Source organism: Homo sapiens, chromosome 4 (genome assembly GCF_000001405.40).
Source record: "Homo sapiens chromosome 4, GRCh38.p14 Primary Assembly".
In the NCBI taxonomy this organism is placed as follows: domain Eukaryota; kingdom Metazoa; phylum Chordata; class Mammalia; order Primates; family Hominidae; genus Homo; species Homo sapiens.
In genome coordinates, this window is record NC_000004.12 from 27687224 (window position 1) to 27705368 (window position 18145).

The window sequence follows — 18145 nt, forward strand, 5'->3', positions numbered from 1 at the left end:
AGCTTCCACTTATAGGTAATATCATGGGGTATTTGGTTTCCTGTTTCTGCATTATTTTGGTTAGGATAATGGCCTCAAGCTGCATCCATGTTGCTGCAAAGAATATGACTTCATATTTTCTATGTCTGCACAGTATTCCATGGTATATACACATATATACCACATTTTCTTCATCCAATCTACCATTGATAGACACCTAGGTTAATATCACGCCTTTGCAATTGTGAATAATGCTGGGATGAACGTATGAGTGCATGTCTTTTTGGTAGAACAATTTATTTTCTTTTGGATATAGACCCAGTAACAGGATTGATGGTCTAAGGGTAGTCTGTTTTAAATTCCTTGAGAAATCTCCAAACTGCTTCCCACAGGGGCTGAGCTAATTTGCATTCCCACCAACAGTGTATGAGCATTCCCATTTCTCTGCATCCTCACCAGCATCTGTTGTTTTTTAACTTTTAATGATAGCTATTTTGATGGGTGTGAGATGGTATCTCATTGTGGTTTTGATTGGCATTTCTTTGATGATTAGTGATGCTGCACACTTTTTTCATATGTTTGTTGGTCGCTTGTATATCTTTTTTGAAAAGTGTCTGTTCATGTCCATTGTTCACTTTTTAATGGGGTTATTTGTTTTTTGCTTGGTGAACCATTTAAGTTTCTTACAGATTCTGTATATCAAATCATTGTCAGATGCATAATTTGTGAACATTTTCCCCCATTCTGTAGGCTGTCTTTTTACTCTGTTGATAATTCCTTTTGCTGTGCAGAAGCTCTTTCATTTTATTAGGTCACAATTGTCCATTTTTGTTTCTGTTGCAATTGCTTTTGAGGACTTACACATAAATTATTTCCCAAAGCTGATGCTCAGAATGGTGCTTCCCAGGTTTTATTCCAGGATTCCTGTAGTTTGTGTTCTTACATTTAAACCTTTAATTGATCTTGAGTTAGTTGCTGTATATGGTGAAAGGTAGGAGCAAAGTTTAATTCTTCTGAATATGGCTACCCAGTTATCCCAGTACCATTTATTGAACAGAGAATTCTTTTCTCATTGCTGATTTTTGTCAACTTTGTTGAAGATCAGATGGCTGCAGGGATATGGCTTTATTTGTGGGTTCTCTATTCTGTCCCATTGGTCTCTATGTTCGTTTTTGTACCAGTACCATGCTGTTTTGGTTACTACAGCCTTATAGTTTAAAGTCAGGTAATATGATGCCTCTTGCTTTGTTCTTTTTTCTTAAAATTGCTTTGGCTATTCAGGGTTTTTTATGTTGTTGTTGCTCCACATGAATTTTAGAATAGTTTTTTTCTAACTCTGTGAAAAATGACATTGGTAGTTTGATAAGAATAACATTGAATCTGTTGATTGCTTTGGGTACTGTGGACCTATTAACAATACTGATTCTTCCAATCCATGGGATGGAATGTTTTTTCATTTGTTTGCATCATCAATGATTTTTTTTCAGCAGTGTTTTGGAGTTCTTTGTGGCTATCATAAGTGGGATTATGTTCTTGATTTGTTTCTCACCTTGAATGTTATTTGTGTATAGAATTGCTACTGATTTTTGTATATTGATTTTGTATCCTGAAACTTTACTGAGGTTGTTTATTGGTACCAGGAGCCTTTTGGCAGCGTCTTTAGGGTTTCCTAGGTATAGAATCATATCTTCAGTAGAGACATACAGTTTGATTTCTTCTTTTTCTATTTGGATACATTTTTATTTCTTTCTCTCGCCTGATTGCTCTTGCTAGGACTCCCAGTACTATGTTGAACAGGGGTGGAGGGAGTGGGCATCCTTCTCTTGTTCCAGTTCTCAAAGGTAATGGTTCCAGCTTTTACCTGTTCACTCTAAAGTTGGCTGTGGGTTTGTCATAGATAGCTCTTATTATTTTGAGGTATGTTCCTTTGATGCCTAGTTTGCTGAGGGTTTTTATCATGAAGGGATGTTGAATTTTTTTGAAAGCTTTTTCTGCATCTATTGAGATGATCGTATGGTTTTTGTTTAATCTGTTTATGTAGTGAATCACATTTATTGATTTGAGTATATTGAATCAACCTTGCATCCTAGGAATAAAGTCTGCTGGATCATGATGAATTAACTTTCGGTAGTGCTTCGGGATTTGGTTTGCTAGAATTTGGTTGGGGATTTTTGCATCTATATTAACCAGGGATATTGGCCTGTAGTTTTCTTGTTTTCATTGTCTTTGCTAGGGTTTGGTATCAGGGTGATTCTGGCTTTATACAATGAGTTAGAGAGAAATCCCTCCTCCACGATATTTTGGAATTGTTTTTGTAGAATTATTACAGGTTCTTCTTTGTATGTCTGCAGGATTATGCTGTAATTCATCTGATCCAGGGCTTTTTTTGTTGTTAGGATTTTATTACCGATTCAGTTTCAGAACTCAATATTGGTCTGTCCAGGATTTTAATTTCTGATTCAATCTTGGGAGATGGTGTGTTTTCACTAACTCATTCATTTCCTCTGGATTTTCTAGTTTGTGTGCATAGAGGTGTTCACAATAGTCTCTGGGGATCTTTTATATTTCTGTGGGATTGGCTGTAATGTCATTTTTTTGGTTAATTCTCATTGTGCTTATTTGGATTTTCTGTCTTTTTTTAATTTGTTAATCAAAGTAGTGGTCTATGGATCTTGTTTGTCCTTTCAACAAATCAACCTTTGATTTTATTGATAATTTATATGGATTTTTTGGTTTTAATTTTGTTCACTTCTGCTCTGATTTCAATTATTTCTTTTCTTGTGCTACATTTAAGGTTGTCTTGTTCTGGTTTTGAAAATTTATCTAGGTGTGATGTTAGATCCTTAATTTGAGATATAACTTGTTGAGTTAGCTCTTGAGTGCTATAAACTTTCCTATTAACTCTATTTTTGCTGCTTCTGGGAGGTATTGGTATGTTGTATCTTTGCTTTCATTTATTTTAAATAACTTTTTTTGATTTTTGCTTTAATTTCATTGCTTATCCAAAAGTCATTTGAGAAATAAATGTTTAACTTCCATGTAATTGTGTGGTTTTGAGAAATCTTCTTGATATTCATTGCTATTTTTATTTTACTGTGTTCTGAGAGTGTGCTTGGTGTGATTTCACTTTTTTTTTTTTAATTTCTTGATACTTGCCTTATGGCTAAGCATTTGGTTGATCTTGGAGTATGTTCTGTGTACAGATGAGAATAATGTATATTCTTTGGATGATGGGTGGAGTATTCTGTAGATGCCCATTAGATCCAATTGGTTGAGTGTCAAATTTAAGTTCAGAATTTATTTGTTACTTTTCTGCCTCAGTGATCCATCTAACGTTGTCAGTGGGTTGTTGAAATCCCCCACTTTTATTATGTGGCTAAGTCTTTTCATAAGTCGAGAAGAACTTGTTTTATGTATCTGAGTACTCCAATGTTGAATGCATATGTATTTAGGATAGTTAAGTCTTCTTGCTGAATTGCACCCTTTATCATTATATAATGTCATCTTTTTCCTTTTTTACTATTGCTGGTTAAAAATCTGTTTCATCTGACATAAGAATAGTCACTCTTGATCTTTTTTTTTGTTTTCCATTTGCATGATAGATCTTTCTTCCACCCTTTACTTTGAGCCTATGGGTGTCATTATGTGTGAGATGCATCTCTTGAAGACAGCAGACAGATGGATCCTGCTTTTATATCCAACTTGCCATTCTGTGCCTTTTGAGTGAGGTGTTTAGACCATTTACATTCAAGGTTAATATTGGTATGTGACGTTTTGGATCTATTATGAAGTTGTTAGTAGTCTGCTTCGTAGTTTCTATTGTGTGGTTGCTTGATAGGGTCTGTGGGCTGTGTATTTAAGTGCATTTTTGTGGTGCCAGGTGTCATTCTTTTATTTCCATGTTTAGAACTCCCTTAAATATTTCTTGTAACACTGGGCTAGTGGCAAAACGAATTTCCTCAGCACTTGCTTCTCTGAAAAAATAAATATTTCTCCTTCACTTATATAGCTTAGTTTGCCAGAATATGAAATTCTTGGTTTGAATTTGTTTTCTTTGGAAATGCTAAAAATAGGTCCTCAATCTCTCCTGGCTAGCAAGGTTTCTGCGGCAAAGTCTGCTGTTAGCCTGATAGGGTTCCTGTTGTATGTGATCTGACCTTTTACTCTTGCTTCTAAGGTTTTTTTTCTTTAGCATTGACCTGGACAGTCTGGTGACTATGTATTGGTGATGTTTCCTCTGTATAGCATCTTACAGGTGTTCTCTGGATTTTGTGTAACTGGATGTCTACCTATTAGCAAGATTAGAAGAAATTTCTTCAACTATTCCCTCAAACATGTTTTCCAGTTTTCTTACTTGTTCACCTTCTGTCTCAGGAATGCAAATAATTTGTACATTTGGTCACTTTACAAAATCCATATTTCTCAAAAGTCTTTGTTCATTTAAAAAATTATTTAAGTTTTGTCTGATTGAGTTAGTTTGAAAGACTGGTATTCAAGCTCTCGAATTATTTTATCTGTTTTGTTCATTTTATTAATAAAGCTTTTACTTGTATTTTGAAATTCCTTAAGTAAGTTTTTCTATTTCAGAATATCTGATTGATTTCTTTTTAAGATGTTTATCTCTTCCTTCATTGTCCTGGATTGCTTTAGAAGTTTGTTTGTGTTAATTTTCAACCTTGAATTTCATTGAGTTTCCTTGCAATCCACGTATTGAATTCCTTATCTTTCATTTCTGAGTTTATATTTTGGTTAGGGACCATTGCTGGAAAGCTAGTGTGATTCTTTGGTGGTGGCACTACATTCAGATTTTTCATGGTGCAGAATTTTTGCTCTGGTTGCTTCTCAACTGGAAATGTTGGCACTTCTAATTTTTGTAATTATTTTTATGCAGGTAGGATTTTTTTTCTTTTTCTTTCTTGTCCTATAGTATCATCATTTGCTCCTTCCCTTTCCCTTTCCCATCGCCTTAGGGTGTATGTGTATATAGAATGTTGGATAGGATCTTTTGGCTTTGCTTGTACAGCCATAAGCACGCATGTCAGCTGGTTTCATATTGAGTTGTGCAGTTTAAACTACAAGCCAGTAGATGGCGCTTATAGGTAAACGCTGTCTGCTGCCAGCATGACTGGGTGGGTGTATACTTGGTCCTTGTTTACTGGAAGAAGCTCTCTGTTGCCTCAGGCAATGGGCTGATGCATGGAGTGCACAGGCTCTGAGTTCACTGCTCTGACCTCGGGAATTGGGGAAAGATGGGTAGGGCTGGATTGGGCAGGTCCACCTACAGATTCCCTGATGACAGACACAAGCACCAGCACTGAGGAAGAAGAGGAACAATCCAGTGGGTGGTCGCCAAGCACCCAGAGGTGTGCCGCCTAGGTGTGGAGCTGAGAAACCTCCTCATCCCCAAGATCTCTGTATGGGGAAGGGAGTGAGCAGCCTAAACTCCTAATTCAGGTGAGCAGGTGCTCCAGTTGCCTGAGATCTGCCTGGGCATGCAGTGTAGAGGGCCCTTCTGCACCACAATCTCTGCACATGCGGCTGAGGCGTCTTAGGTTGCTCATCCAGGCAAAAAAGTGCTTCAAATGCCTAGAGATTGGCCTGGGTGGAGAGTGGAGAGGACCCTGTGTTAGCACAATCTCCACTAGAAGGGTCAGGGAGGCTCAGGCTACTGATTCAGGTGAGCAGGTGCTCTGACTGACTGAAGACCTACTTGGAACATGAAAATGGAGTGGAAAAGGCCTCGCTAAACCATGATCTCTGCACAAGAAGGACGGGATAGCTCAGGCTGCTGGTTCAGGCATGTGGGTGCTTCAAATGCCTGGAGTTATCCCTGGGCATTGAGCAGAGAGGGCCTGGTTGTATCACAGTCTCCGTGCAGAAAGGGTGGGGCAGCTCATGCTGCTGAACTAGCAAGGGGCTGCTCTGACTGCCTGGAGTAGATCTAGTTTTGAATTCTTTCTTGACACTTAATGTGTGTCTCTGAGAAAGTTGCTTAATTCTGAGTAATGGTTTACTTAGCTTTAAAGTGAGGGAGGCTACTTGTGAAGTTTGAAATGACAAATGTGTCTTTATCAGTTATCTGAAAAAAAATGGACATTACCATCTCAGCTTTTGGCAGCTAGCATGAGGTTGGAGAAGGTGGGTTGGATAAGCAATCAGCCCTATCGCCATAGAGTCGGCTGAGAAGAAATTTACCCATGCATTGCTATAGACTTTTAGTTTCCTTCTCTCTTTTTCACCCTGCTCAGAATAACAAATTAATGTGGTTGGTGAGCTAGCCAGAGGAAGCATGCCTCACATGATGACAGGGGAAAGAAAATCCTCCTCCCTCCCTCAGATTTTGTTCCCTTAAACACCTGGGCTTCAAAATGATGGTGTTGTCAACTAAAGTTGTGGCCGTGCTCTCTAGAGAAACCAAGAGTCTATGAAAATATCTCTATTCCTACCTTATGAGAACACTCCCACAGCACCAACTTTATCTTCCTAGAACCTCTGGCATGTAGTTTAGCTTAGGTTTCAGAAGGATAAGAAACAAGGAGCTTATAAATAAAACTAATTTCTAATGTAAACTGCAACTTCCTAAGATATTCACATTTTTGTGAATATTTTTTGATTCCACATTTTTTCCAAAGTATGGTATGGCCATTCACGTTACCCAATATACCACACAGGAAGCATGGCAAGACATGTTAATGACAGCATAAAATTCCAAGTAATACATCTAAAAGTGTTATAAATTTAAACTATGAATTCTGTTTACCATTATTAAATTCATAAGAAGTCAAAGCCCGAAATTTAAACCCCAATTCTGTTTTAACTTAAATAAAAAGCTTTATGTTAAGCCCAAAAGTAATTAGAGTCTCTCAATTTTTTCCACTTCAATTTTTTTCTCTGCTGAATCTCAATTAGATGGATCTTGGTGAAACATCTAGAGAAGTTGGGCCTCCCTGAGAGATTATAACTTTAACCATTTTACTGGAAGGCGTATGGTATATTCAGGACCTCCCAATTTCAAATACTTTTACTTAGGTCTCTCATGTGCCCTAAGCTGTGAAAACTCAAAAGAATTAATAAGCCATATAAGGTTTTCACAATATGACCCCACACTCTCAATAGAGGAAACCACAGCTTCTACAAGAGTTACCACAAGTAAAGTTTATTCTTATAATGCAGTACCTGGTTCAATTACACCCAAGTTATCATTAAAGGCAAAAAACAGAAGAGTAATTCTCGTTGGCTGACACCTTACCAGAATCTCAATCAGCCAAGTCCAATTGTCCAGAGTTTAAGACCTAGGAGCTTATAGTCCATTCGCCTAGATGTTTTTGTCAATTCTGATATTGTGCTTATCAGATGGAGTTGGGAATATTCACCTACCTATACAACCTGACTCCCATCTCTCTGAGTGACATTTGAGACATTTGAACCTTCTTGAAAAGTTTACAAATTTGCACTAGTAATAACGGCAGTGGTTCCTTCCCCCCATTTAGAGAAGTTGAGCCTCCCTTAGTGAAAAAAAACTTATTAAATCCTCCCCTTGGGACCCCAGCCATGATCTTATCCACATGTCCCTTTTATCCACAGGATCAACAACAGCAGATGTCTGACCTCAGCTGAGACCTCTGAAAGAGCTCCCCTCAAAGGTTCATTCAGTAATGCAACCTTGCCATTTGAGCTCATTCCAAAGGTGACCATTCTTCTGCTTTGCTATTGGGTTTTTTCAGAATTGGAATAATGTGTTCTATTTTGATGGCAAAATCCATCTTTTACCACTGCAGCATCTTTTTCCATCGTAGTGAGCTATTCCATAGATGCTCTGATTCCCTCCTGTTTCTCCTTTCTGGAGGCCTTGTGGAGATTTGGACATTCTTATCCACTCCCTACACTGACTGCTTTCCTTTCCCATCACATGGGGGGTGAGCATTGCTTGTGGTGTTTTATTCATTCTCTTTCTTACTCCTCTCTCAGTTCCAGACTTGTCCTTTCTTCACCTAATCCTCTAGATTTTGTATGCTCAGACTCCCTAGTAGGAGACATAATACCAGGCCCAGTCTCTAATTCATTTTTGGTCTCTCTAGTTTTCTCTTTTGTCTTCATTTTTGTGTTGGCCTTATGTGTCTGCTTTTTCACATTCTTTTGTCATCCCTTTGAGTTCCATTCCCATCATTAAGGACTTCCTTGGTCACTAATTCTTCCCTAGGTGGACACTTCTTATTCTTCCCTGGTCTCTTGTTTTCCTTACTATTTGTCACTCTCTCTACATATTCACCTATTTATTTATGTATTTATTTATTAGCTTATGGCCCTTTATTTACCCATTGACCAACCTAAACAGTTGTCGACGTTTGTTGTTTCATTTTGTCCACCTCTTTTGTTGTTGGAATATATATTTTTAATTATACTTTAAGTTCTGGGTTACATGTGCACAACGTGCAGTTTTGTTACATAGGTGTACATGTGTCGTGTTGGTGTGCTGCACCCATGAACTTGTCATTTACATGATATTTATTTTCTATCGTCTGTTCCTTTAAGATGTAAGTCCCATGGGTATAGAGATTTGTCATCTTTCCTCATATATATATATATATATATATATATATGAATTGGAATTGGAGATATATATATATATATATATATATACACACACACACACATACATACATACCTGGGAACAAGAGCAGCACCTGACAAATAGTAAGTCCTTAAAAACTCTTTGGAATCAACTTGTGGTAGTGGTGGAGCAGTATCTCTATTTTCAACTACTGCAATGATCTTCCTTTGAAACAAACCTGATAGCGCTTAAAGTGCTTTATGATCTGTCTAGTTTCTCCCCTCAAAGGTTTGAATAATCCATAATGGCTTCATATGACTTTTCCAGTGTTCATGAAATGGTTTCCTAATTGCTGTTGCTACAGGCCTCCCATCTGCTCTTATATTATGATGCTTCTCAATGCTTTCTTGAAGATGAGTTCCTTCTAGGGAGGTCACTCAAGTTCACTGCTAAGAAGTTTTACTGTTATTAATACAAGTGAAGAGCATTTGGTATACATGTAGCTCATTTTTCCTTTCATCTAATTCTGATTTGGTGGTAAAGACCTCAAGATAGCTCTCAGGTAGATCCCTGTATTTCTTTTTTCTTCCTTTTTTCTTTTTTTTTTTTTCTGTTTTTTTTTTTTTTGAGACAGAGTCTCGCTCTGTCACCCAGGCCGGAGAGCAATGATGCAATCTCGGCTCACTGCAACCTTTGCCTCCTGGGTTCAGGTCATTCTCCTGCTTCAGCCTCCCAAGTAGGTGGGACTACAGGCATGAGTCACCAAGCCTGGTTAATTTTTTTTGTATTTTTAGTAGAGATGGGTTTTCACCATGTTGGCCAGGCAGGTCTCGAGCTGCTAACCTCAGGTGATCCACCCACCTCGGCCTCTCAAAGTGCTGGGATTACGGGCGTGAGCCACCGTGCCCGGCCTTTATTTCTTGATTTCTTGAAAATATGCTCTTTTCTCTTTGTAAAGGTAAAACCATTTCCTGAGACATAATCATTTATGACATTTCAATCCCCCTATATTTAACTCTTGAATTTTTTTCATATTATCTGCAAACTTTATTTCTAAGATGAATGAAGCTTAAAACATTCCATTGTTGAATTTATGGTTTTAACTTTGTGATAGTCTCCTTCAATATTCCTTAAGCCTAGGTTCAAATAAGAGCCATTTCCAGTGCAGTATGCCTCTCTCCTCACCGCTTGATTATCTGTTGATTAATTAAATCAACCATCCTTTTATGGATCAATTCAGTCTTAGTCTGTACCTTGGAAATCTTATGCCACAGTTACAGCCTATTCAGTTACCAAATCAGAGTCAATTTGAAACTATATTGTAGAAAGTGGCTCTTAACAGTATAAACATGGCACATGAGTCCAAGAGATTAGCTCTTGGTATGTCTCATCTTCACTCTTTTTGGAATTGTATGCCCTTTGAAGTGTGGCAAGAGGAAGGAATTTCAAATAGCTAAAGTATTAGCCTCTATTGTTGTTAAACGCTGACAATATAAAGGCTAAAATCTCACCCACTCATTTTACAGCCTACATGGATCTTAACTGCCTTTGCAGATGGAAGCCTCAGCCAGTTGATGTCAAGAAACACTACAAGGAAAAAAAAATTCACCCCTTGAGTCCTGGAAAGCCTGTATCAGGTGAGCCTTAACTGAAACGAAAAGACTCCCTTTCCCTTCATACAGTCGAATCCCTATCTCACTTATTCCTGCGTAGGTCAAGCCTGCACCTCCATCAGTCAAAGTCAGCTACAAAAGTCTGTGTGAGATGTATTTACTGAGCCCTGTGCTACTTTTAAAATAGCTGCTAAACACCATAGACATCCACTGCAGTAAGCTGCTATGATCCTAAAAGTCAAGAACTGGAGCCACACTTGAAGCATCAATTTATCCACATGACACTTTGTTTCATACAACATCAACCCATTGCTGGCTCTTTCAATGTTCCAAGCCAACATACCAGTATATTTAAATTTTAAGGTCCCAGGACATAATTAATATGTTTTTCCTTCCTCCAGTGTTATGTACAAATTGAAGACAGTAAACACATAAATTGCCAGGTGAATATTAAAACGGCAGCTTTATTATTGGAACAGCTAAATTGGAGGAAAGAATCTAATTGTGTGCTCATTGTGGCACTTTTAAATTCTGTCCTTTGTTAATTAAATTTACCTACCCCAAGTGATAGACTGCCTTGCTGAGAACAGAGATCGTCTCAGTAAATGCACTGTAATAAGAGACAGAAAGTTTGTACCTTAGAGAGCCTCATTCTAAAAAATGAGGAAGTCCAACACACACACATACTCTAATCCTAACCAACAGTCTGGTAAGAGAGCATGTCCAAAGGGTCGAGGTGTTCCCATACTCTCCTCTCTTTAGGCTTAGCCATGGGGCTATTTTTGTGAGCAAAACTGAGACAATTCATATCGCCATGAAGTTTAAAGTCTAGTGGGGAGAAATAGATACTAATTTTTTTAAATTACGGTAATAATAAAGCATAAGTAGGTAAGAGAAGTTTTTGAGAAAATATTATTTAAGATATTTTAAGGATGAATAGGAAGAGATGTTCTTTTTTTAAAAAATTTTATTATTATTATACTTTAAGTTTTAGGGTACATGTGCACAACGTGCAGGTGTGTTACATATGTATACATGTGCCATGTTGGTGTGCTACACCCATTAACTCATCATTTAGCATTAGATATATCTCCTAATGCTATCCCTCCACCCTCCCCCCACCCAACAGCAGGCCCGGTGTGTGATGTCCCCCTTCCTGTCTCCATGTGTTCTCATTGTTCAGTTCCCACCTATGAGTGAGAACATGCGGTGTTTGGTTTTTTGTCCTTGAGATAGTTTGCTGAGAATGATGGTTTCCAGCTTCATTCATGTCCCTACAAAGGACATGAACTCATCATTTTTTATGGCTGCATAGTATTCCATAGTGTATATGTGCCACATTTTCTTAATGTAGAGATTAGAGCAGAAGAGTCGATAGTGTCAGATCATAGGTGAAAACAATAAAATAAGCAGTAAACATCATTAAAATGAAAAAAGCAAACAAACTCACAAGCTCTGCATGAAAATAAGTGAATTTCTGAAGTTAATTTGGTGATTATCAAACAACCTTCTTAAGGCTGGTTCAGTAAGGACATCATTGCTAATAAGAATTCGTGCATCCATTGTACACAGACAAAAGAATGATGTAACCATTTGAGCCTAGGGGAATGACAGCTAATAAAGTTAATGTAAATGATCTGTGTATCTCACATCCACAAATAATACATTATGTTTCTTCATGTTTAGAAACCTGGCCACTGTAACTTGGTTCTTTATTGAGTGATAAGTGCAAAGTTTCTCCCAAGTTTTGCTGGATAGACAGTTGTGGCATTGGGGAAATAACACTCATTCCAAAAAAAAAAAAAATTTGTCTTCTACAAATTCTGGCCTACACATATTTCAATGCTAAGAGTATTCAAACCTTCTGAACTCCTGTTTTCTTATTATAATGTGACTATAGTAATGTCCACTTCAACTTCACTTATTCGTTTGGTCCTCACCAGTTGTCTCTGGTCTCCAGAAGATTTTAGCTGAGCAAATGATGAGAAAGATAACTGGTGTTCAACCATAAGCACAGCACTTACTCAAGTTCGATCAAGAGACTCCTGCCTTGACTGTTATCATTTAGCATCTGATCATATTTCATGTTCTCAAGGTGACTTTTCAATCATTTTCCCATAAAGGCAATTGAATCATTAATAATTTTGCTTATGAGACACTGGGCAACAGAGCAGACAGGGAAGATATTTATAGAAATTAGAACAAAATGCCAAATTGAACTAAAGTCATACGAGTATGGAGCTATGTACAATGGTAAAGATAGAATGATATCAAAAGTGTATTAAACTCATTTTTTGTGACCCTAAATTCTCATTACTTAATATTTGGGTTTACACGGAAATTTAAAAAATACTCAAATATGGTAGAACAAGGAAGAAAAGCCTTTGGAGCTAGACTTCAAAGACTCAAATCTCAGTTCTATGACCTTGGAAAAGTTATATAAATTTCTATGACCCAGTTTTTTCATCTGTAAAGTGAGAAAAATAGTAATAACTATCCCACAGGATTTTGTGAAATTTAACAATTTAACATTATAAAACACTCCAAACTTTATCAAGCACATTGTAAGCACCATATGTTTATTGCTGTTATTGTAAGGAGGTCTGGACTTACATTTAAAATCAGGTTGTAATCATAACACTTTGCAAATAGAAATGACCTCAGGTACAACTGAAGACATAGTCTGCCTTTAGCATCTAAAGATATTGAAAGACTGAGAGGTTGCATGTATTTTTCAGAGATCTAAGAGCTAGCTAATGGTCAAATTGGATTGGGACACCTGTGTCCTCCTCTTCAGCTCAGTGCTTCTCTGTTTCACTCTTCTTCTTCATTATTAAATAGCAGAATGTGTTTCTCATCAGTATGTTGAATACATAACTTGAACAGCGCTTTAGGGGGCAAATGTGAGAATAGAATGACCTAAAATGTTTCACATGTTGAGACCACACTGGCACGTTTTCTTCAAGCAGCGTTGACATACATACACTCAAATAAATTAATGTTCTCATCTCCACTGACTCACTAGGCAGAAAAAGTTTGCCTGCCAATTTAAAAAGAGACAGGAGGAGAATGGCCCAGTCAAGTTGACACGTAAAATTAACCATCACAGGTGGTCCGGGGAGAAATGCATTTTTAAATGTGCCAAATTAATAATTGGTTTAGACAAACAAAGCAAACATTTCTAAACACTGGCAAATATTCTTCCCAGTGGTAACAATTCACCTTCATGTTATTGTTTCCTTATCTTACACTCAAATTTGTTTCCTTAGTACTTTATTTGTGAAGATTTTTGCAGTTTAAGAAAGCAATTCCTTTGTCATGTTTACTACATTTTTATTTTGTTTTCCAGTATATAGTGTGGTGAGATATCAAAAAGTATGCAGCTCCTAAAACATTATTATATATTTATTTAATGAAAATTGACTAAATTCAAAATAACTCATGGGACTTTTGAAAAATATACAAATCCTGGGAGGCCTCCCCCAGTCTCAGATTTAGCATACTAAAATCTTCAATTTCCTGAGGTTTGGCCAAATTCAGTTAAACAAATTAAGCAACAAATAAAGCCCACAAAAAGGCAATAATTCCCTGGTTAGGTAATTTTGAAGAGAAAAACTACTACTGGGAATTAAAAGATTTGTGAAAAGTCTCTGAATTTAAGAAATTCCTGATAATGTTGGTATATGTGGTAGGCTTAATAAGGTCCTTACAAATGTCAATGTTTGAATTCCCAGAACCTGTGAATTTGTTACCTGACCTAGTAAGAGACTTTGTAGGTGTGATTAATTAAGGATCTTGAGATGGGATGTTCCCCTGGATTAGCTGGTTAGGCCCAAATGTAATACTCACAAGGGTTCTTCTAAAACGGAGACAAGAAGATGGAAAAGAGGATGTGATGATGGAAGTAGAGATTGGAGTAGTGCTACCAGGAACCAAGGAAAGTAGTAGCTTCTAGAAGCTGAAAAAGGCAAAGAATCAATTCTCCCCTGGAGCGTCCAGATGGAACAAACCATGCTGACACCTTGAATTTTACCCTTTGAGACTCATTTTTGACTTCTGGCTACCAGAACGGTAAGATCACAAATTTGTATTGTGTTTAAGCCATGAAGTTATGGTGATTTGTTATAACAGCAATAGTAAACTAAAACAGTGTAGCAATATCAATGAATTAACATATGAGGAGTGCTAACTTCCAGTGCCAGACACTGTACTAAACTGTTTGGGAAAAGATGATATTTCATCTTGAAAATCGTGTGAGGCAGATATTAGTATTTTCTCTGTTTTGACATAGCACAAACTGTAGTTTACAGACATTAGGTAACTCATACAGAGTTAAGTAACACATAGACACATTGCTAGTACAATGTGACCTAGAATTCAACCCATGAAGTCTAGTGTCAATCCTTTTTACAACCTCCCGCCTCTGCTCATTCCGAGACTATTCATGTTTATGTCTGAGATTCCCAGCCAAAGGCTTTGGCTAGAGTCTGGCCACAGAACATAATTGCTTCAGATGATGTTATAAACTGCAACAATTAATTGAGCAGATATTTAATAAGCATCCAATCTATGACAAGCATGGTAGATAGTAAACCATGCAGTTGAATAAGATAAACATGGCTCCAACCCTTGAGAAGCTCATAATCACAGTGGGACCTCTAAATACAGTGCCAGTACTGGGTGACCAAAAATGCAGAGTGTATAAATCAGTTATCTCAGATTTTTACAATATTGACATCTGAAGCAGATGAGAAGAGGTGTTTTAGAAAGATGAATAGCAAACATGGAAATACAATTTTTTTTTGTAATATTGCCATCAAAACCTCTGCATTCTAGCATTCTTTACCGGTGGCAAAACCACTTTTAATTTTCATTTCCTTTACTCCCTGGAAAGCAAAATGAATTAAGCAGCAACTCCATTTGTTTTTAAACATGATGGGAAGTTTCAAGTGAGGCATTTGAGAGCGCAGAAAAAAATTTAAATGAAGCAGCAGTGAGTTCGGGGGACAGATTCACAACCAGAAAGAAAAACAAAAGAATGCTTTTAAAAAACAAAGGGCTTATTTTTCCCTGTCTCTAATTTCCTCATCTTAATGCTTTTATGAGCCAAATATTTTATGACTTTATGTTAAATGGAAACAAAAGGCTTCATTGTGTATTATTAAATATACAATTATAAGAATCATTACATAAAAATATATTACATTTGGATTTCCCCCAATGCTATTTTTTTGAATGAATCTGAGCTCATTATATTCAGCTGGATCTATTGATTCTATTTCTACAAATTCTAAGTGATTTCTTGCAGTTTATCTATTGTTCCTCTTTTAATTACCAGTGGATGTGCAGTACAGCAGTAGGCAGTATTTATTGCATAATATTAATTCTGCAGCTGCACAGAGACAAAGCACTTTATACTAAACAAACACGGGTGCAAGCTGCGTGCCCTAAAAGGTAAAGCTCTATAGGATGCCCTGCAGTGTGATTTCTAACTGGGCTTCCAGAAATGTGGTTTCCACCCCTTCTGAGTTAAATGAGTCACTCTGACTGTCTAGACTTCAATCACTGCATCTGTAATATAAGGACCTCTAGTTCCTTTCAACACCTATGCAACCAGATTTCTGTGAACACTCTCTGGCTGACATTATATTGTCTGTTGCACTCTGGAAGAAGTTAGCTTCTGGCTTTGTTATGTGCATAAGAAAATCGTCTTTACACATATAATGGTCACGAAAATTCTGGCTGCAGAATAGTCTCCCAAGTGCTCCTGGGAGTAAAGGAATGACAAGTTTTCTTACAAACCCAGTTCTGCCCCTTTTCTGATTTCCCATTTGCTTTGTTGGATAGCAGGTGCTGGACCACCAGGTGGCAGAATGGCTTTATCTAATCCCCAGGGGAACTTCATACATTCTCCTTTCCTGGGTCTATTTTTGAGCTTTGAGTTTTAGAACCGTATTCAGCATTCAAAACCATCAGTGCCATGATGGCTACAGGAAGGAGGCTGTGGTCTTCCCAAGTGTGTCTCCAAAATCTTATATCCCACTGCAAACTGTTCTTCCTTGGCAGGGAGAAGACAATAATGGCGTATTCTACAGGTTGCTCTAGGACTGGATGGAAATGAAGAGAATCAGCAAAAGACTGATTTATATTGAGTTGAAGAGCAATAAAAAAATGTTTGTAGTCTCCATGTAGGTAACAACACAATCTTTAAAGTCAAGATGTTTAATAGTCGTGAACTCTCTCTGAATATCCACTTTCCTTTAGGTCTGTAACCAGATGAGAGGAAACGTAATATAACAGAAGTCACAATAATCATTTTAAATGGTAGTATATTTTCACATCCCCTTCAAATGCCTCACACTTAATAACTAGTGCTTCTGCCTTTCAAACCCAATCCAATAGTCTTGACACTTTGTGGCTGAGGACAAGGAAACTGCTTAGGAAACCTCTTGGAGAACAGGAACATCTTTCTGCCATTCCAACACAGGTTATCTTTTCAGATATGAGAAACATGAAGAATGAGTATTACCATTACAAGTAAATTTGCGTAAGAAAATAGAGATAGTACTTTTCTTCCAGTATTGTTATGGAGACCAAACAAGATAAGGAACATAAATTCGTAGCCTAGTACGTGGCAAGCACTCCTGGAATGGCAGCAGTTCTTTGTCTCCTGTAAAAGTGAATGACTACGGTTATAGTTGTTCCCAAGCAAAGATCTGTTTGACTGTTTGTATTAGTCAGGGTTCTCTAGAGGAACAGAACTAATAGGATATATGTATATATGAAAGGGAGTTTATTAAGAAGAATTGACTCACACAGTCACAAAGTGAAGTCCCACAGTAGGCCATCTGCAAGCTGAGGAGCAAGAAAGCCAGTAGTGGCTCAGCTCAAGTCCTAAAACCTCAAAAGTAGGGAAGCCGAGAGTGCAGCCTTCAGTCTGTGGCTGAAGGCCTGAGAGCCCCTGGCAAACCACTGGCGTAAGTCCAAGAGTCGAGAAGCCAATGAACTTGGGAGTCTTGAAGTTTGAGGGCAGAAAGCATCCAGCATGGGAGAAAGATGAGGGCTGGAAGACTCAGCAAGTCTGCTCATTCCACCTTCTGCCTGCTTTTTCTTTTTTTTTCTTTTCTTTTTTTTTTTTTTGAGACGGAGTCCCGCTCTTTAGCCCAGGCCGGATTGCAGTGGCACAATCTCGGCTCACTGCAAGCTCCGCCTCCCAGGTTCACGCCATTCTCCTGCCTCAGCCTCCCGAGTAGCTGGGACTACAGGCGCCCGCCACTGTGCCCAGGTAATTTTTTGTAATTTTTAGTAGAGACGGGGTTTCACCGTGTTAGCCAAGATGGTCTCGATCTCCTGACCTTGTGATCTGCCCGCCTCGGCCTCCCAAAGTGCTGGGATTACAGGCGCGAGCCACCGCGCCCAGCCCTGCCTGCTTTTTCTAGCTGCACTGGCAGCCAATTAGATGGTGGTCTGCCTTTCCCTGTCCACTGACTCAAATGTTGATCTCCTCTGGCAACCCCCTCACAGACATACCCAGAAACAATACTTTGCATCCTTCAATTCAGTCAAGTTGACAATAGTAACCATTACACTGTTTTTCCATATAATTTATTTATTATACTTTTTTCTAGCTTTCTTCAAGTACATTTGACAAATACAAATGGTATATATTTATGAGGTACAATGTGATGTTCTGATACATGTTTACATTGTGAAATGATTACCACAATCAAGCTAATTAATAGACTATCACCTCACATAGCTATCATTTTTGTGTGTGTGGGTGTGTCATGAGAACACTTAAGATTACTCTGTTGGCAAATTTCAAGTAAATGACACGATATTTTTAACTGTATTCACCATGCTATACGTTAGATCTCCAGGTCTTATTCTTCCTGCCTAACTGAACTTTTGTACCCTTTGATTAGTATCTCCCTATTTCCCTGCTCCTCCGACCCTGGCAATTACCATCTACTCTGTGTTCTATGAGCTTGACTTTTTTAGA

At 37.8% G+C, this 18145-nt stretch overlaps 1 long non-coding RNA gene across 2 annotated transcripts in view, besides 1 other annotated feature; it reads left to right on the plus strand.

The window, feature by feature from the left end:
* Positions 1–18145, plus strand: part of LOC105374548 (uncharacterized) — a 49283-nt gene that overhangs the window by 17257 nt on the left and 13881 nt on the right. Inside the window, exons 2-4 of one of the 2 annotated variants that reach the window (XR_925517.2) lie at positions 7564–7666; positions 10057–10167; positions 16210–16331. This is a non-coding gene — a long non-coding RNA (uncharacterized LOC105374548). The remainder of the gene's footprint in view (positions 1–7563; positions 7667–10056; positions 10168–16209; positions 16332–18145) is intronic. The other variant, XR_925518.2, reaches the window with a different exon arrangement.
* Positions 9064–9358: an enhancer, noted in NCBI's record as "tiled region #11222; HepG2 Activating DNase matched - State 9:DNaseU, and K562 Activating non-DNase unmatched - State 24:Quies". NCBI's record gives its function as "activates a minimal TATA promoter and a strong SV40 promoter by Sharpr-MPRA in HepG2 and K562 cells {active_cell/tissue: HepG2 | K562}" and the evidence as "EXISTENCE:reporter gene assay evidence [ECO:0000049][PMID:27701403]".